The sequence below is a fragment of the Homo sapiens genome, chromosome 16 (assembly GCF_000001405.40).
Source record: "Homo sapiens chromosome 16, GRCh38.p14 Primary Assembly".
Classification (NCBI taxonomy): Eukaryota; Metazoa; Chordata; class Mammalia; order Primates; family Hominidae; genus Homo; species Homo sapiens.
This window is the reverse complement of record NC_000016.10, coordinates 8,571,908-8,599,304: the sequence shown is the minus strand read 5'-3', so window position 1 is coordinate 8,599,304 and position 27,397 is coordinate 8,571,908. Positions and strand designations below refer to the sequence as shown.

Here is a 27,397-nt window from a genome sequence, read left to right as displayed (position 1 = left end):
GCTGTGTGATATTGATTCACTTACTCAACCTCTCTGAGCCTTGGTGTTTCTATCTGTAACATGGTTGCATTAGGCATACTTTTCTCCCAAAATTGATGTGAAGCTTCAAACAGGAATGTGCCTGATGTGCCTGCCCCATTGTCACAATCCAGCACATATCAGCTATCACTGGAATAGATTCCTAGAGAAGGGCTTTTACTAGCCCCTCTTACAGATGAGGAAACTGAGGCCCAGAAAGGAGAAGTAACCAGATCAGGACCTTTCAGCAGGCTAGTGGCAGAGCTGGTGCTGGAACCCAGCTGTCCTGGTTCCTGGTCTAAATTCTTTCCCTTCGGCTGTGTGATACCTGAAAGAAGCTTCTCTCTGGTTGAGGATTTTTATTCCAATTTGGGAAGAAGTTTCCCCAAAGAAAGAGAGCTCAGACCCAGGCTTTAATCTCTTGGTGTTATGCCAGGTGGGTAATGGCAAAATTAGACCAGTGGGTTACTGATCTCTTTTCATTTTAAGCTAATTACATCACCTAGGGTATGGAGAGTGGCAGCTAGCTCTTCTAGATGTCCTTAATGGACGGATAAAGGCTTTACACTTAAATGGTTATGCACAGGTCAGGTCCAGGGAGTCCAGTTCACCAGCAGAACATCATGACTTCATGAAACTTAATACAGAGAGGAGGCATTTCTCTCTAGTGCAGCAATCTTAATAACTGTACCACATCCCAGCTATATTTCTAAAGCCTTCAGCTGGTTCCTTACAGTTCCTTACAGCCCCACAAAATAAGCTCTGTGCTTGCAAGAAGAGACTTTTTGCAGGATTCGTTTATTAAATCAACAAATTTCTATTACACACATACTGTGTGTCACATACTAACCCCGAAGCCAATGATGCCCATTGGATAGCACCAATGCAATCCCTGTCTGCATCAATTCACAATGCATTCCGTTGCAAATAGCAGACAACTCTAAGTTAATGGCTTAATAGATAAGGGTTCATTTTTATCTTGTAACAAGAATTCTGGAGGTAGGCAAATCAAAGATGGGGCAATGATACTATTGGGTGTTCATATGTTCAGTCAATGGAGAGTTGCAAAGTTCAATGATACTATTGGGTGCTCAAGTCTCTGCCGCTTTCTGTTTTTGCCATCACGGATGGTTTATCCTCGTGTTTGCAAAATAGCTGCTGCACTTCTAGACATCACATTTACATTCCAGATGGACAAAAAGCCTTCTCCCAAGGCCTTGTCGTTTTGCTTGGGGGAGCCATTCCCAATAGACTCTGTGTCTATCTGATTGGTCTGAATTATGTCACATGGCCACTACTGGCTGGAACGGATCTAGAAATGTGAAAGGGAAGTGAATCTGAATGGTGTTGAGTGAGCCATCCTATAGTATCTAGCATATTGCCTGAATGAGGTTTATAGTCCAAAGGAGCAGACACGTAGCTAGCAAATAACTTCATTGTTAAGTATTCCTTAATTACTATTAGGAAGGTCTCTTTGAAGGTGTAAGAGTGCTAGATAACAGGTCTTAGGTTGGGTTTTTTGGAAGTAGACCCTGAGATAAGGATTTAAGGGCAAGTAATTTTTTTTTTTTTTTTTTTTTTTGAGATGGAGTCTCGCTGTGTCACCCAGGCTATGGTGCAGTGGCTTGGTCTTGGCTCACTGCAATCTCCACCTCCCAGATTCAAGCGATTCTTCTGCCTTAGCCTCCCTCCGGAGTAGCTGAGACTACAGGCATGTGCCACCACACCCAGCTAATTTTTTGTAGAGATGGGGTTTTGTCATGTTGGCTAGGCCATTCTCGAACTCCTGGCCTCAAGTGATCCACCTGCCTTGGCCTCCCAAAGTGGTGGAATTACAGGCATGAGCTACCATGCCTGGCCGAGGGCAAGTAATTTTATTTGGAGGGTTATCCTAGGATGCCCTGGTACAGGAGTGGGGAATTGAGATGCAGGAGGGAGAAGAAAAGGAAATCAATATAAGATGTGCTATTGAGCAGGTCACCACTTTGGGGAGCTGCAACTCAGTCTCCCTGGGAACCTCTGGGATCCAGAGTAGAACATGCTCAGAGCTTTCCCCTGCCCTAATGGGTGAGATCACTGGGGGCTATTTATCCTCCACTCTATTCCCTTTCACACTGGTATTTCTCCTAGTGAAAGAAAGCCTTGTAGATCTAACCCTGTCTGTGTCTGCTTCTTAGAAGACCTGAAGTAACACAGGCTGGGAGTGGGGACAGGCCTCAGGTAGGATTGCCTTAGCAAATGCGAAGCCATAAAGGAGCTGTGGGAAAAGGAATGACATGTTCTGAGTTGTGTTTCATGATGACCATGCAGGCTCTTGTAAGAATGGATGGTCATAGTGGCAGTGTGGCAATGGCAGACAACAGCAGACGCAGGGACACCAGTGTTCAAGTTATCAATAGCTGTGTAACAAGCTACACCCCAATTCTCTGGCTGAAAACAACTGTTTTATTTTGTTAATGCTTTTCTGGTTTAGGAATTCAGGAAGGGCTCAGCTGGGTGGTTCATCTCTAATCCATGTGGCAGCAGATGGAGCTGCTGGAGCTGGAGGGTCTACTTCCAAGATGGCTTCTCCACTCAAAAGCCTGGCACCTTGGTGTTTCCTGGTCCCACCCACCCACTCTCTGGCATCTCATCCTCCAGCCTTTCCTCATGGCCTGGGCTTCTCACAGAAGGGTGGTCTCCAGGAATTTCCATCCTTATATGGTTGCCAACTTCCAAGAGATTGAAAATGGAGGCTCCCAGGCCAGTTAAGGGTGGTGTCTGGAACTGGCCCAGCATCCCTTCTGCCAAATTCTATTGGTGAAAACAAGCACAGGCCTCCTCAGCTTTGAGGCAGTGGAGAAGTACAGTCATCATTTTGCTGGAGAGTGGCAAAGTCCACTGGAGAAGAGCCTGTGGCATGGGCAATATTGTTGCTACCATGTTTGGAAATGACAGTTGGTTATAACCAGGTAGGAGGTTTTATAGCATCCAGGCAAGAAACAATCATGGTTGGTATTAATGACATAAGTGTGAAGATGGAGAGTTGCAGATGCATAATACATTTTGGAAGTAGAACTGATAGGAGTTGGTGATGTCTTGGTTGTGGGCCTTTCGGGTGAGAAGAGCACTGAATGGCTTCCATATTTCTGTGAAGGCAACAGAGGAGATGATAGCTCTGTCTCCTGAGGAGGTAATGCCCTGAGATCGAGAAGGAGATTAACAGTTCAGTTCTCAGGGCACTCATGGGTGGTCATCTGTTGAGTCAGACAGTTATTCCATCTCTGCAAAGTTATTGACCTTGGGCAAGTTGCTCAGACTCTGAACCTCAGCTTTTGCATCTGTAAAATGGGCATGCATAATCTCTCTGATTGAATAGTTGTGAGGACTTTGTGGGTGTGGCAATGACCTGGGGTGGATGCTTTTTTTTTTTTTTTTGAGATAGGGTCTCGCTCTGTCACCCAGGGTAGAGTGAAGTGGCGCAATCTCAGTTCACTGCAACCTCCGCCCCCTAGGCTCACGTAATCCTGCCACTTCAGCCTCCTGAGTAGCTGGGACCACAGGTGCACATCACCACTTCTGACTTTTTTTTTTTTTTTTGTATTTTTAGTAGAGACAGGGGTCTCATCATGTTGCCCAGGCTGGTCTCAAATTCCTCAGCTCAAGTGATCCTCTCGCCTTGACCTCCCAAAGTGCTGAGATTACAAGTGTGAGCCAATGTGCTCTGCCTTAGATGCTTAATTGATGCCCCCAGGTTTCCCTGATGACCCATCTGGGCTCAGTCTGGGCTAGGACAAACCGTCTAGGCCACAGAGCTTTCTGGGAACTGGGAAAGGGGAAGGGAATTCATGGACTTATTGAACATCTACTATGTTTCAGACGCTTTTTATACATTGTCTTATTGAATCCCTCTGCAACTCTATATTTAAGATACATGTAGAAATAGGGAAACTGAGGCTCCAGGAAAAAAGGACTTACTCATATTCACATGTTGGTGAGTAAAAGAGCTGACAGCCAAATCCAGGTCTCATTAATTGTTTTTTAAATATCATTTTTTTCCCTGTGATGCCTCAGTGCTTCATAATAAGAGGTAACCCTTCTTCCCTACACCCTGATACCTCCCTCCCTCTTCCTTTATTCCTTCTTTTTAAAAAATAAATATTTTTTATTTTTTTAGGGACAGGGTCTCACTGTGTTGCCCAGGCTGGAGTACAGTGGCATGATCATAGCTCACTGCAGCCTCAAACTCTTGGACTAAAGCGATTCTCCCACGTCAGCCTCCCAAGTAGCTGGGACTACAGGTGTGCCATCACACCTAGCTAATTTTTTAATTTTTTTTTTTTAGTAGAGATGGAGTCTTGCTATGTTGCCCTGTCTGTTCTGGAACTCTTGGCCTCAAGCGATCCCTCCATCTCAGACTCCCAAAGCATTGGGATTACAGGCATGAGCCACTATTCCCAGCCTTTTCCTTCTCTTTCTTTTAATATTTCCTCTTTTCATTCTTAACGTGCATTTCCCTCCACACTTCTGAAAGTGCTTTCCACTTATCTTATTTTTTGAGACAGTCTCACTCTACCACATAGGCTGGAGTGCAGTGGCACAATCCCAGCTCACACCAACTTCTGGCTCCTGGGTTCAAGCGATTCTCCTGCCTCAGTCTCCCGAGTAGCTGTGATTACAGGTGCTCACCACCACGCCCAGATAATAGATAACTTCTCTGGGCTCAGACAGCTGTCAGATGCTGATTTAAGACTCAAAACCAGCCTCTGCAATCCCTGATGAACGTTGTGCTCCCCCATGCTGTAGTGAGATAGCACGGTGCCTGGTGTAGCCTTAATCTTAAATGCCGTGGCTTGTTTGGATCTGGCCTTGGGAGATTTCAGGTTTTATCATGCTTCTTCAGTTGACTGGCTGAGTAATGATATTACGTGATGTTTGACGTGCTCCTCTCCTCCCCAGAATCATAAAAAAAAATTACTTTCTGTTCCTTTTAGAGTGACTGAGCATGATTTAGGTGGAGTACATTAAAACCCTCAGGGAAAATACAATTTCGAAACCTATAAGGTTGCCTAGGAGCCTGGAAGAAGGTCTCCTTGTATAGATGAGGAACGTGGGACCCAGTGAAGGGACAGGCCCATGGTGGGTGCAGGGGGCATCCCCTGTTTTGGCCTGCCATTGTCCATTCTCTTGGTTCTCATAATGGCACCTCGCTTTTTCTTGTGGGAGCCAGCTAGGTTTGCTGGATACATCTGGTTAAATTTTAACTTCAGATAAACAACACGAAGTTTTTCTAGTATACCTCAAGTATTGCATGGGACATACACTGAAAAATAATTCACCATTTATTTAAAATTAAAATTTAACTGGATTTCCTATATTTTTATTTGCCACATTTAGCAATCGTAATGTATTTCAGCTCAAATGGCTTAAAATAAACTTTTATTTTAAATTCAAGGGTACATGTGCAGGTGTGTTATGTAGATAAACTCATGTTACAGGGGTTTGTTATACAGAGTATTTCATCACCCAGTATTAAGCCTAGTATCTATTAGTTATTTTTTTTTCTGATCCTCTCCCTCCTCCCACTCTCCACCTTCAGGTAGGCCCCAGTGTTTGTTGCTCCCCTCTATGTGTCCATGTGTTCTTATCATTTAGCTCCCACTTGTAAGTGAAAACATGCAATATTTGGTTTTCTGTTCCGGTGTTAATTTGCTAAGGATAATGGCCTCCAGCTCCATCCGTGTTCCTGCAAAGGACATAATCTTGTTCTTTTTTATGGCAGCATAGTATTCCATGGTATAGCCTACCACATTTTCTTTATCCAATCTACCATTGATGGGCATTTAGGTTGATTCTATATCTTTGCTATCATAGTTGGACTCAAATATTTAGGGTGGGTCTGACTTCTCCCACTCTGGCTCCAAGAGTAGACGGGTGACTGAGGCTTGGCCAATTAGCACATCTGGTCCCTTTGAATGATAGAGATTGATTCAGAGACGGGCACATGACCAAAAACAGGCCAATGAGATTTAATTCTGGGGATCTGGCACTATTGAGAGAGAGATTATTTCTTTTTCTTGGAGCTGCTAAGCTGTGAAACTGGCTCCTATGATTGAACAAATGAGAGCCTGCTTGAAAAATGAAGTCAAGCAAGAGGAAAACAACTGAGAGGTGGCAAGAAGAAGAGGAAGAGGGAAGAGATTGAATCTCAAAGACATTGTAAGGGCTCCTGGGATCAGCCTCAACTGAATTTTACCTACATCTCTCAAGTCGACGGTGAGGACTATTTTAATGATGGTGGAAGTAAAGATAACAGTAGTAGTGTGATGGAGGTGACAGCAAAATTATCAGTGATGATGGTTTTGGAAAAGATCTATCTTCATCAAGATAGTGGTGGCGGGGTGATGAAACAGAATGGTCTGCAGAATCAAGGGAGAGTGTATTCTTGCTGGTGATAGCTCTGCCAGGGTGCTGATGCCCTTGATAATGAAGATGAGGATGACAGTGATGTAGATTAAGGTGGTATTGGGAAGGAAGAATAAAGGGAAAGGATAACTCTCAACCCCAGCCTATCACCGAGCCCTAACAACTCTACTCCCTCAACTTTTAAAAACTCTATCCACTTCACTCTCTGCTCGCTGCTGCCCCCACCCTAGCCCAAGTCAGCAGGATCTTGCTTCTTCTTCTACGATGTCCTCCTAAGTGGCCTTCTTGTTCCCTTTCTTGTCTCTCTATATTCTATATTCCACACTACAGCAAGCATAGTGAGATTTTTTTAATACGTAAGTTAGAACATTTTACTTTTGTGCTGAAAACGGTTCAGTGGTTTGGACTAAAATTGAACTCTTTATCATGGATCTCAAGAGCTGCATGACCTGACAAATTATTATACCCTCAATCTCATTTCCCTCTGGTTGCTCTTCCCTTACTACATTCTAGCCTGATGGCCCTTCTTTCGATTTCTCTAGAATGGACCAAACCCCTCTATAAGCCATTCTCTAGACACGGATACTTTTATAACCTTCATGTCTCAGCATCAATGTCACTTCCTCAGAGAAGCCCAGTGAGATCTCCCCTCTGATACTTTCTCTCATAGCACCCTGTCGTAAGCACGCTTTGATGATTCTCTTCCAACCTGACCAGCACTTACCAACTTTTGGACCTTGATACAATGGTCCCTTACGAATGGATCACAGGAGTGCCAAGATTTTGATTCCTCAGCCATAAGGTCAGCATTGAGGGGTCTTTAGTAGCTGTAACTCCTGAGGATTGGTCATCCCCAGTATCTGGAAGCCTCTTCTGTTAATGAGCCATGCAAATATAGGTATTTTCTCTGTGTCCCCTACTTTGTAAAAGTCTGGGAAGCCTGAATCCTATATTTCTTAAGGGCAGGACTTGTTTTTGGATTGTTCATGCCTATATTCTTAACATAGACTATAGCATCAGACACATAGAAGGTACCGGAAGTATTTCTTGAAGGAGTAAAAGGTTTTATGGTGGTGAAGAAGATGGTGGAATTGATAAGAGTGATGGTGATGATAAAGAGGAGAGTGGTGCTGGTGCTGGTGGTGGTAGTGATGATGATGGTGATGGTCATGGTGGTGGTGATGGTAATGACCGTGGTGGTGATAGTGGTAATGGTGGTGATGATGGTGGTGATGATGATGGTGGTGATAGTGGTAATGGTGGTGATGATGGTGGTGATGATGATGGTGATGGTGGTGATGATGGTGGTGGTAATGGTTGGTGGTGATGGTGGTGGTTGGTGGTGATGGTGGTGGTGATGATGATGGTGATGACGATGGCAATGGTGGTGATAGTGATGATGGTGGTGGTGGTGATGGTGGTGATGGTGGTGATGGTGGTGGTGGTGGTGATGGTGGTGATGGTGGTGTTGTCTGTGGTGATGGTGATGGTGGTGGTGATGGTGGTGGTGATGGTGATGGTGGTGATGGTGGTGTTGTCCATGGTGATGGTGATGGTGGTGGTGGTGGTGATGGTGGTGGTGATGATGATGGTGATGACGATGGCAATGGTGGTGATAGCGATGATGGTGGTGGTGGTGATGGTGGTGATGGTGGTGGTGGTGGTGGTGATGGTGGTGAAGATGATGTGGTGATGGTAGTGATGATGGCGGTGTTGGTGGTGATGATGGTGATGGTGGTGATGGTGGTGTTGTCCGTGGTGATGGTGATGGTGGTGGTGGTGATGATGATGATGGTGATGGTGGTGGTGTTGGTGATGCTGCTGCTGGTGATGATGGTGGTGATGATGATGATGGTGATGGTAGTGATGACGGTGTTGTTGTTGGTGATGATGATGATGGTGATGGTGGTGCTGTTGGTGATGCTGCTGCTGGTGATGGTGGTGATGATGATGGTGATGGTAGTGATGATTGTGTTGTTGTTGGTGGTGATGTTGATGATGGTGATGGTGGTGGTGGTGATGATGGTGGCAATGCTGGTGGCTATGATAATGAAGAAAGACTTTGGGGGTAGAAATGATAGATTCTGAGGACCTGGACTACCTCAGTGCTTTAGAGAACTTTTATGAAAAATTAATGTGCCTTTTCACATTCTAGTCAGCCCAGACTACACTCGAAGGTGGATTTTGGAGGAAGGGTACTTGGAGCTGGAGGGGCTCTTGGAGATGATTTGCAAATCCTGGCGGGACTGTGAGGCCCGCCACACCCCTCCTTCTTTCTGCCCCAGGTGGTCCCAAGGCCGCCTGCCCTTCCACACCGGCAGCCTCCAGCGCTCCAGGGCTGGGGACCGCCCCCGTCCATGCTGCGTGCGCACTCCGAGCTTTTCCTCGGCGAGGAGGAGGGCTCAGAGGGTCAGCTGCGCCCCGGCCAGAGCAGGAGCTGCGGGAAGACCCTGGAGAGCAGGGCTGGGAGTGGGGATCTGGCAGTGTGGGGCCAAGAAAAAGGGCTGGGGCGGAAATCCAGAGACAGAGGCAGAGAGGGGAGCATCTGGGATCGTGGGGAGGGTTCGTGGAGAGTGAGGCAGGGGAATGGAGGGAGTAGGAGTCTGGGGAAAGTGAGGATTTTGAAGTGAGAGAGTCCGCTTGGGCTGGGCGTGGAGGGCCGAGGGTGGAGTGGGGCTGAGGGACGAGGTGGGTTAAGGTGCTGGTGGGGAAGGACTAGAGCTTCCAGGAGGGTCTGAAGGCGGAGGTGGAGGTCGGACAGCACAAGTGAGAGTGAGGGGGTCTGCAGGTAGAGCTGGCATTGGAGGGGTGGGAACGTGGACGGCGGCTGAGCGGGGGGCGCGTGCAGGTCGGAGCCGGCAGGTGAGGAGCCAGGGTCTAAGCTAGGGCCCGGGGTCCAAAGGAAAGGCTTTCAGATCTGAGCTCCGCGGCTCTGGCGGCGGTGGAGCTGGGAGCCCGCGGTGGCCGGCTGGGGACGGGGGCAGGAGCAGAGGGGTCGCGCCGCGGCCACTGGAACCCGCGGCTGCTGGTCCTGGGCTCGGCGATGCGGGTGCACCTGGGCGGGCTGGCCGGCGCGGCTGCGCTGACCGGGGCGCTCAGCTTTGTGCTCCTGGCGGCCGCCATCGGCACGGACTTCTGGTATATCATTGACACCGAGCGGCTGGAGAGGACTGGCCCGGGGGCGCAGGACCTGCTGGGGTCCATCAATCGCAGCCAGCCCGAGCCTCTGAGCTCCCACTCCGGCCTCTGGCGGACCTGCCGGGGTAAGGGTGCACCCCGTGGCTGGGAGCTGTGGCTGCGAACGCCCCCTGCGCGGTGCCCTGCTCCCTTGGGACCTGTTGCTTGGCGCGCACTCCTCCCCCAAGTCCCTAAAATACAATGTCTAGGGACTCGGGGGGAAGGTGAGCAGAAGGCCGGGACTGCGAAAACCCTTCCGAGAGGCACCCGGCTGCGATCCCAACTGCTCTAGCTCTCCCCGCGCCCTCCCCGGGTGGGGCACTTAGGGTGAGCATGGGGGCAAAGCCGCAGACGAGGGTGCTGCACAGAACTCCGGGGTCCTGCACCCATGGATTCCTCCGTCCTATCCAGTGCAGAGCCCGTGCACACCGCTGATGAACCCCTTCAGGCTGGAGAACGTGACAGTCAGCGAATCGAGCCGGCAACTTCTCAGTGAGTCCGGGGAGGGTGAGGATGGAGGGAGCGCCCCGGTCCTAGCCGTGAGTTCTGGAGCCTTTCCCAAAACAGCCGGGCTTCGGGGCCTGCGGAGAGGGCGGCTGGGGTGGCCTCTGACAGCCCAGCCTGAGAATGGAGTGGGCTTAAGACCGGGGGGCAGGGTCTCTCCTGATCCACCTGTAACGTTTTGTGGTTTAGGGTTCATTCAGCTCACGTTGACTAATGGCTTTCTTTGCACCGTTTTGATGGATGGTTAAGACACAGGCCATCCCCTCAAGGGGCTCACAGTGGTGCTGGGACAAATGTGGAGACGCGCAGTTAGAGTCCAGCAGCGTGAGGAAGGGAAGGTGGGAAGCCCCTGCAGGGACCTAAATTAGCCTCGGGAGGTGAATGGTGAAAGAGAGGTCTCATTCCACAGATTCCATGCCAGCGTTGTTTGTATTCACATTGCCTAGAACAAGGGCTTTGCAGTAGTGGGGTGCGATAGAAATTTGCATATAAATATATGATTGGAGCCAGGCAATTAGGAGGTGGGAACAGCCCCTCCTCTCAGGTCCACTGCGTCCCTCTTATTCCTGGTTGGTTCTTAGTACCCAGCTCAGTGCCTGGAACTCAGTAAAAGTTGTGAGGACTGAAAGCAAGAAAGGAAATGGGATGAATGAGCATTTGTGGAGGGAGGGAAATAAACCTAACAGTTCAATTCATTGAGGCTTGAGATAAGCCAGACGTGGAGCGAACTGCTTTTCATCTATGTCTTCATTTGATTCCCACAGCCACACCCTATGAAGTTATTAGTATCGTCATTTCTGCCTTCATTTTTCCAATGAGGAGGCCCAGAGAGGTTCTGTAGGAGGATCTGATGAGGAAATGAAGACTGAGTTTCATAGACTTTGAAAATGTGGGCAGGTTTTTTTTTTTTTTTTGAGACAGGGTCTTGCTCTGTTGCCCAGGCTGGAGTACAGTGGCATAATCTTGGCTCACTGCAACCTCCTCCTCCCAGGTTCAAGCGATTCTCCTGTCTCAGCCTCCTGAGTAGCTGAAACTACAGGTGCCTGCCTCCACGTCGGGCTAATTTTTCATATTTCTAGTACAAATGGAGTTTCACAATGTTAGCCAGGCTGGTCTCGAACTCCTGACCTCAAGTGATCTGCCCATCTCAGCCTTCCAAAGTGCTGGGATTACAGGTGTGAGCCACTGCATTGGTATCAGTTTTTTTTTAATAGTGATAGGAAACATAGTTACTATGTTTCCCAGGCTGGTCTTGAACTCCTGGGTCAAGTGATGTTCCTGCCTTGGCCTCCCAAAGTCTTGGGATTTCAGGTGTGAGCCACTGTGCCTGGCCTTCTCCCTCCACTCAACCCTACCCAGAGACAGGGTCTTGTTCTGTTGCCCAGGCTGGAATGCAGTGGCACGGTCTTAGCTCACTGCAGCCTCAAACTCCTAAGCTCAAGCAATCTTCCTGCCTTAGTCTCTCAAAAGTGCTGAGATTATAGGCATGAGCAGTTTTTGATAGACTTACTGAGGCTGGGGATAAAAAAATAAAGACAAGTGCCTAGCATGGCCCACAAGGCTTGGTAGGGTCCCTCTCCAGCCCCATTCTCCGCTTTACTCCTTTCTTTCCAGCTGTGCTGGCCTTGGCCAGTTCTTGGAACATGCTAAGTTTCCTCCTGCCACAAATATTTTGCACATGCTGTTCCCTCCACCTGGAATCTCCCTGCTTTTATCCCACCAACTTGACTTGGCTAACTGCTAAGTGCAAATTGTATGACTTTTTTGTGGGGTGGGGTTTAAATCTGACTCCCTCATTAGATTGAAAGCTCCATGGGGACAAGGACCATGTCTATCTTGCCACTGCTGAATTCCCAATATTTAGCATAGAACCTGGCACATAGTAGCCCATGAGTCAAAGTTTGCTGAACAAACATGTTAGTGAATGCAAATTATATTATATTGTAGGTGGAGCTCAATATATGTATTTATTGTATGAATATATGGGTTTATGGTGAACCAGAACTGTTTCTCTAAAGTCCAGAGGCATGCTGGGAAATATTGAACAACTGGATCTCTGCAAAATTAAAAGAAAAAAAAAAGCCCTGGTTTGTAGCATTTGCCTATTTCTGTGGTGCAAATACTTCCACCATGGCCAATTTCAAGACACCAACATGATGTTACCTGGCTCACAAAATTCTCAAAAGCTTAACTGGCTCTTGTGAGTTGATATGAGTCAGCTCCAGCACACCACTGAGTTAAGTTCCACCAAAGGAGACATACCCTAGACACCTGGAATGTGTGGGAGTTGAGGAAAGGTGGAGGTACCGTGTGCTCTGTTCTGAGCCCCAAACTGCACAAGGGGAAACTGTGAGTGTCTTTGAAGCACTGTTTCAAGAATTATAAGAATTCGGCCAGGCGTGGTGGCTCATGTCTGTAATCCCAGCACTTTGGGAGGCTGAGGCAGGCAGATCACCTGAGGTCAGGAGTTTGAGACCAGCCTGGCCAACATGGTGAAACCCCATCTCTACTAAAAATACAAAAATTAGCCCGGTGTGGTGCCACCTGCCTGTAGTCCCAGCTACTCAGGAGGCTGAGTTATGAGAATCGCTTGAACCTGGGAGGCAGAGGTTGCAGTGAGCTGAGATTGCACCACTGCACTCCAGTCTGGGCAACAGAGTGAGACTCTCTCAAAAAAAAAACAAAAAAAAAGAATGATAAGAATTCCGGTCATGGAAGTGAGGGAGATGAGGGTCATGTCCCAGGTAAAACCCCTACAAAACAGAGGCCTTCTGTGATCCTGGGATAGGTGTCTTAACCTCTCTGAGCCTCAATGTTCACATCCGTCAAAATGAGATGTGGACACCATCAAGGGATATGGTTAGACTTCCATGAGAGGGAATAAAAATGGATAAACAAAACGGACCTTGCCTAGGACCAGTCATAAAGGAATGACCAGACTTGTCAGAAAGGAATGACTTGACATCGAGTTTCCAGACATATGGTAAGTGCTCAGTAAGCATGAGCTCTCCCTTTGCCCCTCCTTCCAGCCTCCTTCTAGAGGTAGTAACATCAATGGAGTGCTGATCCTTTGCCAAGCTGGGTGTGCACATTCAGCTGACTTATCACATCCATGGGTCAATTGGATGGCTAACCACAATAGGCACTGGGCTGGCTTCCTCTTCAATCTTGACAGTGCAACAACCATGCTTGTTTCAGGATTTTGAGACAGAGCAGAACTCACATCCACAGTCTATTCACTCGTTCACCCTCAGTCCTAGGGCTAACCCGCAGTTTCACCACCAAGTAGGCATGTGGCCATGGGCCTTTCCTTATTTCCTTATACCTCTCTGAGCCTCAGTTCCCTCCTGTGCAAAATGAGGATAATTGTCATCTCTTTTTGTAAGGTTATTGTGAGGCTAAAACAGGACAGTGTATTTAAAGAGCCTAATGTGGTGTCTGGCCTCCGGAAGTGTGCTGTAAGTGGTAGCTGCTATTATTCCCATTATATCCTCCATGAAAAAGGACAAGCTGCCCCTTCATACCATGTACTCCTTGCAAATCACCCCCAGAAAGAGCTTTTTTTTTTTTCTCCGCATAATGTCTTTTTCTTCCAAAATGAATTTTGAGTTTGGTCCAAGCTCTTCTATTATATGAAGATGTTTCATTCCTTTAAGGACCTGCTGCAGAGGCCATAGAGGAGAAGCTAGCTGACAAGCAGCACGTTCGACAAGCAGCATGTTCTCTAAGTTCAGCCTCCTAGATAAATCCTGGTGGGGGTGTATGGGAAGAAACCTTGATTTTTCCTCTAAGAAAACCCTCACAGAGAGACCACTTCAGTGCCAAGTAATTTACTGTAATCACCTGGCAGATGGAGGACTGTTAGGGAAGTCCCATGATCTAACTTGCCTCCTGATGTGATTTGGCTGTGCCCCCACCCAAATGTCATCTTGAATTGTAGCTTCCTTAATTCCCATGTGTTGTGGGAGGGATCTGGTGGGAGGTAATTGAATCATTGGGGCAGGTCTTTCCCATACTGTTCTTGTGATAGTGAACAAGTCTCCTGAGATCTGATGGTTTTATAAAGGGGGTTCCCCTGCACAAACCCTCCTGCCTGCCGCCATGTAAGACGTGACTTTGCTCCTCATTCACCTTCAGCCAGGATTGTGAGGCCTCCCCAGCCATGTGGAACTGTGAGTCCATTAAACCTCTTTCCTTTATAAATTACCCAGTCTCAGGTGTGTCTTTTTCTTTTTCTTTTCTTTTCTTCTTCTTCTTCTTTTTTTTTTTTTTTTTTTTGAGACGGCGTTTCACTCTTGTAGCCCAGGCTGGAGTGCAATGGCGCGATCTCGGCTCACTGCAACCTCCGCCTCCTGGATTTAAGCAATTCTTCTGCCTCAGTCTCCCAAGTAGCTGGGATTACAGATGCCCACCATCACACCCGGCTAATTTTTGTATTTTTAGTAGAGATGGGGTTTCACCACGTTGGCCAGGCTGATCTCAAACTCCTGACCTCAGGTGATCTGCCTGCCTCGGCCTCCCAAAGTGCTGGGATTACAGGGTGGGCCATTACGCCCAGCCAGGTATGTCTTTATTAGCAGCATGAAAACAGACTAACACACCTCCTTAATTCTGCTTAGCTACCTTGGGAGAGTGGAGTTGAGCAGACATATCAGGTCCTTAAACAGGTACATCCCAATAACCTCCACTCTTTCAGCCACAGAGAGAAGTTTTCAATGAAACAGGTTCCTTGTCAGCAAAATCCACTTTGCTGAAGTGTTTCATCTTCCAGGTTAGCTCTGGGGAAGTCGTGGGTTTGTTTCTTGGGCTAGGGACTGGAATTATTTTTGGTGGAAAGGAGGTCTTCAAATTCAGCACAGTGTAGATTAAAGAGCTATGGTCTAGAATGATCCAGTCTAGCTGTATCAGCCAGGAACTTTTTGGTGGCAAGTGACAGAAACTCAAATCTTACTGGCTTCAATAAAAAAAGAAATCACTGGTTCATGTAACTGAAAAGCTCATGTCTGCTGGAATCCACTGTTAAACTCAATTTCTTTCCTCTTCTTTTTGGGCTTTGCTTTCTTCTGTTTGGGTTCTGCTTTCAGCTAAATCCTCTCCCACCTTAGCAACCCTAAAAAGGGAGACGTTCTGTTTCTCATGAATTCCACCAAACTTGCAGCTAGGTTTTCCACTGGACCACATTGGGTGACATGCTCAGTCCTGAGCCAATCCCTCCAGCCAAGGGGATGGAATATGCTGATTGGCCGGGCTGAGTCATGTGCCCACTTGTAACTGGAGTGGGTTGGGATCAGCTCCACAGATAAGGGTGGGAAGGTGGGGAGGATTGGTCACATGATCACAGGCAGCTCAAGGTGCTGTCATCAGGTGTAGGGGCAGGCAAAACCCACACGCGCCTACATCACTGGGGTTCAAACCCTGGCCTTCTTGCTAGCTGTGTGACTTTTTTTTTTTTTGAGACATGGTCTTGCTCTGTTGCCCAGGCTGCAGTGTAGTAGCACAATCATAGCTCACTGCAGCCTCGAACTCCCAGGCTCAAGCAATTCTCCTGCCTCAGCCTCCCAAGTAGCTGGGACCACAGATGTGCACCATTACACCCAACTAATTTTGTATTATTTTTTGTAGAGATGGGGGTCTTACTATTCTGCCCAGGCTGGTCTGAAACTCCTGGGCTCAAGCGACCCTCCTGCCTTGGCCTCCCAAAGTGCTGGGATAACAGGCCTGAACCACTGTGCTCGGCCAGCTGTGTGACTTCTGATGAGTCACCTGCATCCACAAATGGGCTGTTCTAAGATGAAATGAGATCACATAAACAAAGCAGCCAGCCCTGGACTCTGTGCACAGTAGGAGCTCACTTATTGCCTCCTCTTCCTGCTCTAATTCACATTGCCTTCCTGAGCCTCAAGCTTTTCATCTATGAAATAGAGCTAATCATCGCAGACCCACCAGATGCACTTATTTGCTCAGTACATATTGATTTCATCCCCAGTACTGGGCCAGCTGCCTGGTGTAGAACATGATGAGACAGTTGCTGTGTGCTGGACACCATTCTGAGCTCTTGACTTGTATCTACTCATTTAATCTTCACAACAGCCCAAGAGGCACTATTATTATCATCCTCACTTTGCAGATGAGGCAATGGAGACATAGAGAAGTCAGGTATGATATCTAAGTTTGCACAGTAACTAGAACTTCTAGGATTTGAACCCTAGCAGTTTCCTTTCCTTTTCCTTCCTTTCCCTGCCTTTCCCTGCCTTTCCCTGCCCTTCCCTGCCCTTCCCTGCTCTTCCCTGCCCTTCCTTTCTCTTTTCTTGTCTCACTCTGTTGCCCAGGCTGGAGTGTAGTGCTGAGATCTGAGATCACTGCAGCTTCCACCTCCTGGGTTCAAGCAATTCTCCTGAGCCTCCTGCCTCAGCCTTCTGAGTAGCTGGGACCACAGGTGTGCACCACCATGCCCAGATCATTTTTGTATTTTTAGTAGAGATGGGGATTCACCATGTTGGCCAGGCTGGTCTCGAACTCTTGACCTCAAGTGATCCACCCGCCTCGGCCTCCCAAAGTGCTGGGATTACAGGCATGAACCACTGCACCCAGCCTACTCAGCAGTTTGTTTCTACTCCATTGAAGCAATGCAACTCTGAGTATAGTTTCAGTGTGATGTGTGTATATTAAGATTAGAGGTCATGGTAGACCAGAGGAGCTCCTAGCCTGTTTCTGGGGTTCAGAGTCCTGCTATCCAACATTGCCTCTTTCAGACAGGAAACCAGAGACCTGCATTACGAGACAGAACAGCAGGTTCAGAGCCATGAGGCAGGACTGAGCTTGGTATGTTCCAGAAATAGCAGGAAGGCTGGTGTTTCTGGAGGGTGGTGTGGAAAATGCTTCTTCAGAGCACTTCCTGTTTTTTTTTTCTATGTCTTACCTCAGCTGTGTCTCCTAAGAGCCCATAAGAGAGGCCAGGCTGGTCAGATGAGGACAACAGACCCAGAGAGGTCAAATGCCTTGTCCAACACAGCATGCCCGCGGTGGAAGCTGAACTGAGAGGAAGTGGTCTGGCCACGCTGTCCTCTGAGGAGGCGAGGTTGGAAAAATCACAAGATTGGATTTCCAGTTTTTCTGGGTGCTGGGCTGTTGCAGTGACATGGACAATTAAAACCAGCCCACCCACGATGCCTGGTGCAAATTGCAAGAGTGGAGGAGGTGAGGGACAGAGCAAGGATGGGGACATAAATGCTTGAAGAGGCTGCCTGAGCCCAGGAGGGAGGAACTCTCAGTGTGATTTATGCATAGCTGTGCTGCAGGCAGTCAGGGAAGGAGCAGGTGCCTGTGGATCTTCAATCCTCTGGGCACAAGGGCCTGAGCTTCAGGCTGCCTTTCTGAGGTGCCCATTAAAAAATAAAGGCCACATTTTAAACTAACAAAAGTTCAAATTTAAAGTAAGTCCACTTCTGGCTGGGCGCAGTGGCGCACACCTGTAATCCCAGCAATTTGGGAGGCCAAGGTGGGCGGATCACTTGAGGTCAGGAGTTTGAGAGCAGCCTGGCCAACATGGCAAATCCCTGTCTCTACTAAAAATACAAAAATTAGCCAGGTGTGGTGGCATGCGCCTGTAGTCCCAGCTACTTGGGAGGCTGAGGCACGGGAATTGCTTGAGCTCAAGAGGCAGAGGTTTCAGTGGGCCGAGATCACACCATTGCACTCCAGCCTGGGCAATAGAGTGGGACCCTGTCTCTCACACACACACAAGTCCACTTCTTAGTATCGGCCATGTGAGTCTTCTAAAAAGTTCACCATACCAGTTTGAAACAGTGAAAAACAAGGTCTGTATAGCCTCACTGCCCACAGATGGAGAGATGGCTAGACATTTATAGGTGTATATTCATGTTGTGGAATATTATATAGCCTGTAAAAAGAATATACTAATGCATATTAGTGTTAATATTACATAGCCTATAAAAAGAATATATTAAGATGTACTGTGGAATGAAGAAAGCAAGTTACAGAGTGTTATGGGCAGCAGGATGTCATTTATTATCCCCCCTCAAAGAAACTCCCCAATATTACACCTTTTCTGTGGGTATATAACAAAATTTTAAGATGCACGTTTACCTTATGTGCCATTAAGATAGACAAATATACTGCCAATTATGATTGTGGGGTGCTGTGGATGGTCAAACATACTCTATTTTCAGATCTGTTAAAGTATGATAAAGGCTGGGCATGGTGGCTCACGCCTGTAATCCCAGCACTTTGGGAGGCCGAGGCAGGTGGATCACTTGAGCTCAGGAGTTCTAGACCAGTCTGGGCAACATGGTGAAACGCTGTCTCTACCAAGAATACAAAAAATTAGCCGGACGTGGTGGCATGCGCCTGTGGTCCCAGCTACTTGGGAGGCTGAAGTCGGGGGTTGCTTGAGCCTGGGAAATGGAGGTTGCAGTGAGCCGAGATAAGGCCCACGGCACTTCAGCCTGGGTGTCAGAGTGAGACCCTATCTCAAAAACAAACAACAAAAAAAGTATAATCAAGTGTGCATTGTAGAATTTGAGGAATATGTGAATATATAGAAAAATTATAAATATATGGACAAAAACTGGGAAGATGCACACTGAGTCATTTACAGAGGGTCACTCTGGAAAGGAGAGGAAGACACAGGGCTTGGGGTGGCCAAGAGGGTCTTGTTTCCTTTTTTTTTCTTTTTTTTTTTTTTTACCTCTTTTGAGATGGAGTCACTCTCTGTCGCCCAGGATGGAGTGCAGTGGTGTGATCTCGCCTCACTGCAGCCTCCGCCTCCCAGGTTCAAGTGATTCTCCTGCCTCAGCCTCCCGAGTAGCTGGGATTAGAGGTGCACATCACCACGTCCAGCTAATTTTTGTATTTTTAGTAGAGACGGGTTTTCGCCATGTTGGCCACGCTGATCTCAAACTCCTGGCCTCGAGTGATCTGCCTGCCTTGGCCTCCCTAAGTGCTGGGATTACAGGCATGCATCGTGCCGGGCCTTGTTTTAATTTTTTCTAAGAAGAATGTTATCATGTGTTGATGTAAAGCAAGCTCCAAGAGGGCTGCCTCTGTGGTTGGATTTCTCATTAGTGTGGCTTGTGGGGCTATTTGTGACCCTGGCTCACCTCTCCAGCTGCAAGAGCTGAGGTATTGCTACTTTGGGTGTCTCCTACTTCTGGATGTTGGCATTTTCTGTCCCCACTTTTGGGAATCCCTCTCCTACTTCTCAGCCCAGTTAACGCCTCACTGTCTCGCCTCCAGGTCTCAGCTGAGACCTCTCCCCACTCAGGAAGGCTTTAACTTCTCAAGCTGGAGTACGTGTCCATGTCTGCAGTCCCACGACCCCTTTGTCCACTTCTTTTGTAATCTCATTCCAGCTCTGACACTTCATGGCCATTGGCTCTTGGGGTAGTTGATATAAGTTCCTTGAACCTCAATTTTCCCACCTGTGAAATGGGAATTAAAAACTCCCACCTGGTACAGTCTAAGTTGATGATGAGAAAGAGACAAGTATTCTCATATTCAGTGCCCACAACTCTGCAAGGTCAGAGTCCAATTGACAGGTGACGAAAACGAGGCTTTTGAGCGATGATGTGGTTTGCTTGGGTAAGAGGCGGAGTCAGGATTTGAACCCACGTCTTTGCTCGGAGACTCCTGCTCTTTCCATATCCTAACAATACCTCTTGGAGACCATGAAGAGGCAGCCCCCATCCTCCAGGACAGACTCAAGGACACACATATATATATATATAAAATTTTAAAAGCTACTGCCTTACCAGGCATAACAGGGCTGCATAGCTCTGAGCTCTTCCAGAAGTCTCAAAGTCACACTGACAAGGTTAGGAAATAAAGGTGGTGAAATTTCTTCCTTGTAGTAAGTGGATCCTGGGACCTTCTTCTTTTGCCAGAGCTTTTGATGTTCCTGGGGTAAGAGACATCCCCTGCTCTGCGTAAGAGCATTGACCGCTCGGGGCTTCCTGACCTCACAAGCATCATGGAAGACTGCTTTCCCCACTGAGCAGCTCTTTGAACAGCATGATAATGAAGCAGTCACAAACACTTTTTCTGTTTGTTTTTGGTGTGAACATCTTTGCTTCTTTCTGGGGTTGCTTTTCCCTTGACTTGTAGCAAAGCATTTTTGCGTCTAAAATATCTCTGCACTGGGGCACACACGTTTACCATTGATGAAACAATGGCCTGCCAATATTTTATTTTATTTTATTTTTTTGAGATGGAGTCTCACCCTGTCACCCAGGCTAGAGTGCAGTGGCACAATCTCAGCTCACTGTGACCTCCGCCTCCCAGGTTCAAGCGATTCTCCTGCCTCAGCCTCCCAAGTAGCAGGGATTAGAGGCCTGTGCCACCAAGCCCAGCTAATTTTTGTGTTTTTAGTAGAGACGGGGTTTCACCATGTTGCCCAGGCTAGTTTTGAACTTCTAACCTCAGGTGATCCACCTGTCTCAGCCTCTCAAAGTGCCGGGATTACAGGTGTGGGCCACCACACCCAGCCAACATTTTAATATTACTAGTAATTCCGTGTAATAACCACAGGTATCATCTATTGAGTTCCTACTGTATGCCATCCAAGACGTGGTACTGTGTGGATGGTGTCACTCCTAAAAAGATATGCTCATGTACTAAGCCCCAGTACCTGCGAATGTGACTTATTCAGAAAGAGCATCTTTGCAGGTGTAATTCAGACTCTCGAGATGAGATAATCTTGGACTAACTTGGTGGGCCCTAAATCCTATGACAAATGTCCTTATGAGAAGGGGAGAAGGTGGCCACGTGTGGATGGAGGTAGGGATTGGAGTGACATAGCCACAAGCCAGGGAGCATCACAGATTGCCAACGGCTCCCAGGACATAAGAGAGGCGGGGAAGGATTCTCCCCTAGAACCATCAAAGGGAACACAGTCCCATTGATATCTTGATTTTGTACTTCTGGCCTCCAGAACTGTAAGAGACTAAATTCCTGTTGCTTGGAAGCCACCCAGTTTGCCTTCATGTGTTACAGTGGCCACAGGAAATACATACCACCACCTGATCTAAGAACAAGGCCCCCCCACCGCCACTGCCCACCTATTTTTCTGCATCCTCACACTTATTTCCTCTGTGACACGTCACAGCCTGCAATGATCTTTGTTTCCTTGCTTCCTGTCTACTCTGTCTCCTGTGCCCATCTGTGAACTCCATGAGGGCAGTGGCCTTGTTCGATGAGGTGTCCCCAGGCCCTAGGACAGGGCTTGGCCCTCACTGGGGACCCAAAGGCATTTGTTTCTGAATGAATGCATGCGCTCAGGATTGAGTTCAGTGCTTTTGAAAACACTGCCGGTGGCATGCCTGTAATCTCCGCACTTTGGGAGGCCAGGGTGGGTGGATCACTTGAGGTCAGGAGTTCAAGAGCAGCCTGACCAATATGGTGAAATGCCGTCTCTACTAAAAAAAATACAAAAATTCGCCAGGAGGGATGGCGGGCGCCTATAGTCCCAGCTCCTCAGGAGGCTGAGACAGGAGAATTGCTTGAACCCAGGAAGTGGAGGTTGCAGTGATCTGAGATGGCACCATTGCATTCCAGCCTGGGTGACAGAGCGAGACTCAATCTCAAAAAAAAAACAAAAAACAAAAAACAAAATCAAAAAAGAAAAAAGAAAACATTGCCAATCAGGAAAACAACCCTGCAGGGAGGTCTTAGGTCTTAAATATTTTTTACAAATGAGGAAATGAGGGCTCACAGAGGTGAAGGGACTTACCTAAGGTCACATGGTGAGTAAGAGTGTCTGGCTGGCCTCAGACCCAAGATCCTTCTCTCCCAAGAACATCAACAGGGAATGACAGAACTGAGGTGGAAATCCAAGGTTCAGGAAGTTTGCTTTTGAGTCCAGCGCAGTAGCTGTCCCCACATCATCCCTCTCTAGCTGTTAAAGGCAGACACCTTTCACAGCTGCAGGGGCTGTGGGAGAAGGAAAGGGCCAATTAGATCTGCAGAGTAGAGGGAAGGGAAGTGGCTTTCGTTGAGGGCTTGAGCCCAAGTCATCTGCTATGGTCCTCATGTCAAGATGAATATGGTCCAGTTCCATTTTTCAAATGAGAAAATTGAAGCTCATTGAGGCAGCTCCTCTGAAGTCACATGGCTAGTAAGAACCACGCTCAGGTCTGACTCTAAATACTCCATGCTTTCCTTTAAAATTTACTGCCTCAAATGGAAGGTCTATGATCATGTGGACTTAGCCTGGCATCTCTGAATTGACACATGGCTGTCTGAGTCTCTTAAGGCACCACTTTCACCTGACATTACAGCAATTTATGTCTACATGTGAACTTCCTTTCTGAATTATAAGTTCCAAGGAGGTGGGATTTATGTCTGATCCAACTTTGTACCTCTACAATACCCATCCCAAAATAAAGCACCTATTAGATGCTCAGTAAATGCTCAATTTCCTTCCTTCCTTCCTTCCTTCCTTCCTTCCTTCCTTCCTTCCTTCCTTCCTTCCTTCCTTCCTGCTCTCATTCATTAACTCAGCCATCCATTGCACAGGGAGCATGTACTACATTCTAGGTTCTGTGTTGCAAGTTATTGGGCATTCAGGGATGTGCAAGAATACATCACAAGAAAGAAGAAATTTTCCAGGTCCTGCTGGCCTTTGATTCCTGCCACCTCTGTCCTGCTCCATCATATCCTTTCCCGCTTGCCAGTGCCTGGGAGAGCCCCTGGCCCCTGCCAGTTCCCTCCAGCCAGAGACCAGTGGGGACACCCCTGCAGTTCAAGTTGGGGTTTATTACTCAGTGCAGCAAAGGAGAACACACTCCATGGGGAGCTGTGGGGTGTCTCAGCAAGAGGTTGCCAGGAAGGACTTACGGGATTCGGGCTTTGATGGGGTGTCTTTGGAGGGTCTGAGGATGTGGAGGTTTGTTCTGGACTGGGTAATATCAGGAAGTGGAGACAATTCTGTGACCAAATATCTCCATCTTATCTATAGGGAGGCAGACTGGCTGTGATTGAGAAAGCAGGGACAGTCATATGAGCTGGGAGAAGGAGGCGTTTGATATTTTGTGGGTGGCACAGAGACCTTGTTTACACCTCTGCTTGGGCAGCCTGTGAGGTGCCCTTGCTGGGTCTCATTGTATTGTGGTCTCAGATGACCTCGTCTGATGTCGGAGTTCCAAGAGATTATATCCAGCAGAACACCGCAGTCTAGCTATGAGCGCCATGCCAGTTCCCAGAAGCTGGAAACTGTTTCTTTCTTTCTCTCCATCACAGGAGTTCATTAGAGGCTTGTTGATGAATGGGAATCAGGTCTCCCGGCCTGAGAGATCTGTGTTTGGTTGTAACAGGCTTTCCACATTACCAAAAGGTTTACAAGATTTCATGCATATTATTTCATTTAGATAGCCCAATACCAAGCTGAGAAACAATAACAATGAACACTTGTATTAGGTTTATGATGTGACAAGCACCATTTTAAGAAGTTTGTCCATTTTACCTCTTCCTCAGTACACAATCCTGTAAAGTGCATACTCTTAGTATTCCCATTTAGCTGATGAGAAAACTGAGGCTTGAAGGTTATAAAGTAACTTGCCTACAGACCCTCAGCTGGAAGTGATAGGGCTGACATTGGAACCCTGGTGAGCATAGGTGGCAGGTGTTGCATCATTGTTTACTGAAACAATAAACGGAGAAGTGTGGTGACCAGTTGTCCTGGTTTATCCTGCCTGGTCCCTGTAGACACCTATGGTCATGGTAGATAATTTAATACAGTTGATGATTGTTTGATTCTCAAAAGTGTGATTTGGATGGTCAATCATACGGGTACTCTGTCAACATGCGTGCAAGAGAGGAACTGTCTGCGACTTATTTATTTTTGTCTTCATACCAGTGCTCAGTGTGGAGCTAGACTCACAGCAGACACTCTTAATATGTTTGCTGAATTTAATAAGTTCTAGATCAGTGGGCAGGTGTTTTTACTCTTATTTTGCCAATGAGGCTCAGAGTGGTCCAGTCATTTGTCCAAAGTCACACAGCTTGTATGTCACAGACTCTTTTTCAGTGGTCTTTTGACTGTAACCCCTCACTCTGAAACTACATATCCACCACTTCCCAAGTAACCCAGCCCCCACAAAATTGGTGATGATGATTATTTTCATCATATCCACATTCCAAAGGGGACTATCTTCCCCAAGTGCATTCAGAGATGTGGCTAGCGATGGGAGCATTTCTAAGTAGAACAGAACTTGGAATCAATATTCATGTTCCAAAGCCACAATCCTGGGAAAAAAATGTAGCAAAGAATAGGGCACACACACAAAGAAAGCTAAACCAAATTTCAGCAGGAGATTTTATAGCTCTCTCCTGGGTGGCTTGCTCTTACCCAGGCGTTTAATCGAATGTGGACATCAAGGCAGCTTGCAGCACGACTGGGAAACTCACATGGGGCTGCCATGGCTGCACCAACTCTGGGAAACCTCATTAATTTCTGAACGAGAAATGATTTCCTTTCTTGGCCACAGTCTGAGATGATGGTGTGTGGGGGGATGGATTTTAAAGGACTAGGTTTTTGCATGAGCTGTGGTACTTCCCTGCCCAAGACTTTTCCCTGAAAAAGAAAGAAAGAAAGAAAGAAAGAAGGAAGGAAGGAAAGAAAGAAAGAAAGAAAGAAGGAAAGACCACAGGTCTCATCCCCTGTAATCACATTTTATCACAGGACAGCCTTGGGAGGAAGTTCAGTCTTGTTTTCTTGACTCACCAAAGTTAGTGCCAATTGAGGGACTGAAGGCAAAACATTTTGGTCAGAGTGGAGGTCACGGACCAAGTTATGATTATCACCATCATCTTTATTATTGATAGAGTTATGATTTATTTAGTGCCTGCTCTACGGGACGCAACACTGCACATCTTACTACATTGCCCCGTGTTGCCCAATGATCTTTACAAGTATTATTCTCATGATAATTCTGTGAGCCGTATACTTTTACCTCCATTTCATAAGAAGTGGAAATGGAGGTTCTGAGTAATTAAATGACATGCCCAGGACCCCACAGTCAGCCTGAATTAGAGTGCAAATAATCCGGCTCTGACGTCTATATTCTTCATCGCCATGAGGTCATCTATTGGGCTCCCTCAGTTTTTTTCTTATTTCCTAGAAACTGACATAGTTTCCTGCCTGAGAGCCACACTGTCTAGCTCAAAATTCACTCATTCACTCACTCATTCATTCACTACATTGTCAACACATATCTCTTCAGCACTTACCATGTCCCAGAACAGAACCTCTGCTAGAAACTCAGGGATACAATTGTGCACAGGGAAATAAGATCCTCTTTGCCAAAGAGCTCATGTTCTGTCAGGTGAGACATAAAAGTGACTCAGATGCCCTCAACACTAGGTAATAAATGCCTGTCCCTATGGGGTGCTGAGGGGGCACAGAGGAAGGGCACTTGACTGGGTGGACAGTGGTGAATGCAGTGTAAGGAAAGACTTCCCAGAACAAATGATGCTTAGCCTGCACTGAAGGATAGGAAAGTATTTATTTTCATACCTATCCTATTGCCAAAAGGATTTAAAGATGCTTGGCACCCAGCTCATAGTAAACAACCAATACACATTTGGTAAATGAAGGATGGATAAAAAAAAAACTTTGCACTTGTTTCCCTTTTTTCTTTGGCTGCTGGGAAGCTCAGAGTCAAATAGTGACAGAGGTATAGACCCTGAAACCTTAGACTTCCTCCTCCTCCATTCACCCCTCATCATGGGTCTTGACTTTCTTGTCATTCGTCTTTTCCACTTGCTGATTTTACAAGTTGTATTATTATTTATCTTTGACTGTTTGGGCTTGGGAGTTCTCTAGAAATGGCCCCAGATCCTACTAGAGAGGAGGCAAGAGAAATACATTCAATGCAGGGACTGTTCTCCAGGTGGATCCGTTTGGCTCTGCAACCCGGGGGCAGCATGTCTCCCTTCACTTTGGTTATCACACACATCACGTGGTCTTCAAGCCCTGAGATTAACAGTGTCCCCGTTAGTTCTCTCAATGCCCAAAGCCCTTCATCCACACAGTCCCTGCTCCCCCAAAAAGCTTTTTCCCATCCAAAAAGCTTGCATGATGCAATCAAGGTGCTGGCAAAAACTTTAAACAAAACAAAACCCAGAAAGCTTGCATGAGGCTCCTCCTTGTGGTGACAAATATGTTCTTGTAGAGAACGGGGCCGGCACTCCAGTCAGTGAAGCCAGCCTTGGGAGAAGGATAACTTCCAAATGATCAGCAAGTGCTGTCCCCAAAATGCCATGCTAAGGACCACAGGGGTTTTTAGATCTCTTAAGGTCCCACGGCTGTGGAGGCAGAGCCAAGGCCCAAACCACTGCCAGCCATCCCCCAATCCCAAGTTCTTCCTAACACCCTGGCTCTTGTAATGAATAATTAATGATGCGTGTGATCATCTGCATTGCGGCTTCTCTCTTGTTAGAAACCAGCTCTGGCCAGGCACAGTGGCTCACACCTGTAATGCCAGCACTTTGGGAGGCCAAGGCAGGAGGATCGCTTGGGCCCAGGAGTTTGAGACCAGTCTGGGCAACATATCAAGACTTCATCTTTACCAAAAATAAAAAAATTAGCTGGGTGTGGTTGTGCACACTTGCAGTACCAGCTACTTGGGCAGCTTAGGTGAAAGGTTTCCTTAAGCCCAGGAGGTTGAGGCTGCAGTGAGCCATGGTCGTGCCACTGTACTTCAGCCTGAGTGACAGAGCAAGACCCTGTCTCAAAAACAAAACAAACAACAAGAACAAAGCACACAGCCTTGCACGAGATGAGCCTCAACCACTGTTGTCATGGTCATCATCATCATCAGAAACAGTAGAAGTAATCGTCGTAGGGGCAGTGACAGTGTGGATTTTCCCCAGCTCTAGTAGGTGCTCGGGAAGTGTTTGTTGATTGAATGAAGGATGTTAGTAACTGTCCTCTGCCTGGTATCCTCTCTGTCTCTTCTAAGCCATGCATGGGACATTTGTGATTCTGCTGCCGCTCAGCCTGATCCTGATGGTTTTTGGGGGGATGACGGGGTTTCTGAGCTTCCTCCTCCAAGCCTACCTCCTCCTCCTGCTCACTGGAATTCTCTTCCTCTTTGGAGGTAGGTGCCCACCCTGCCTAGGGCTCTGGCTTGTGGTCTGGGGGTTGGGCAATGGGTACTGTGTATGAACCCTCAGCAAACGAGGGGGATCCCAGGGCCTCGTGGGGTTCAGTTTCCCCTTCTGGGATATCAGTTGGAAGAGATGAGTGGTTTCCAGCCCAGAATCACTTAGTCTCTGG

General features: G+C 47.3%; 1 protein-coding gene across 5 annotated transcripts in view, besides 1 other annotated feature; it reads left to right on the top strand.

Moving 5' to 3' along the window:
- The window catches only part of TMEM114 (transmembrane protein 114), a 63,960-nt gene continuing 45,356 nt past the window's right edge, over nt 8,794-27,397 (top strand). For 2 of the 5 annotated variants that reach the window (NR_110736.2, NM_001290098.1), the window contains exons 1-2: nt 9,467-9,686; nt 10,012-10,092. Coding sequence is in view for 4 of the 5 variants with exons in the window: in NM_001290098.1 (NP_001277027.1) it covers nt 9,467-9,686; nt 10,012-10,092 (301 nt within the window). In the remaining variant the exon portion in view is untranslated. Of the gene's footprint in view, nt 9,687-10,011; nt 10,093-27,080; nt 27,219-27,397 lie in introns of all 5 variants that reach the window. The other 3 variants (NM_001290097.2, NM_001146336.2, NM_001290095.2) reach the window with 3 other exon arrangements.
- Nucleotides 16,808-16,867: an enhancer, noted in NCBI's record as "active region_10352". NCBI's record gives its function as "activates an Ori minimal core promoter by ATAC-STARR-seq in GM12878 lymphoblastoid cells {active_cell/tissue: GM12878}" and the evidence as "EXISTENCE:reporter gene assay evidence [ECO:0000049][PMID:35858748]".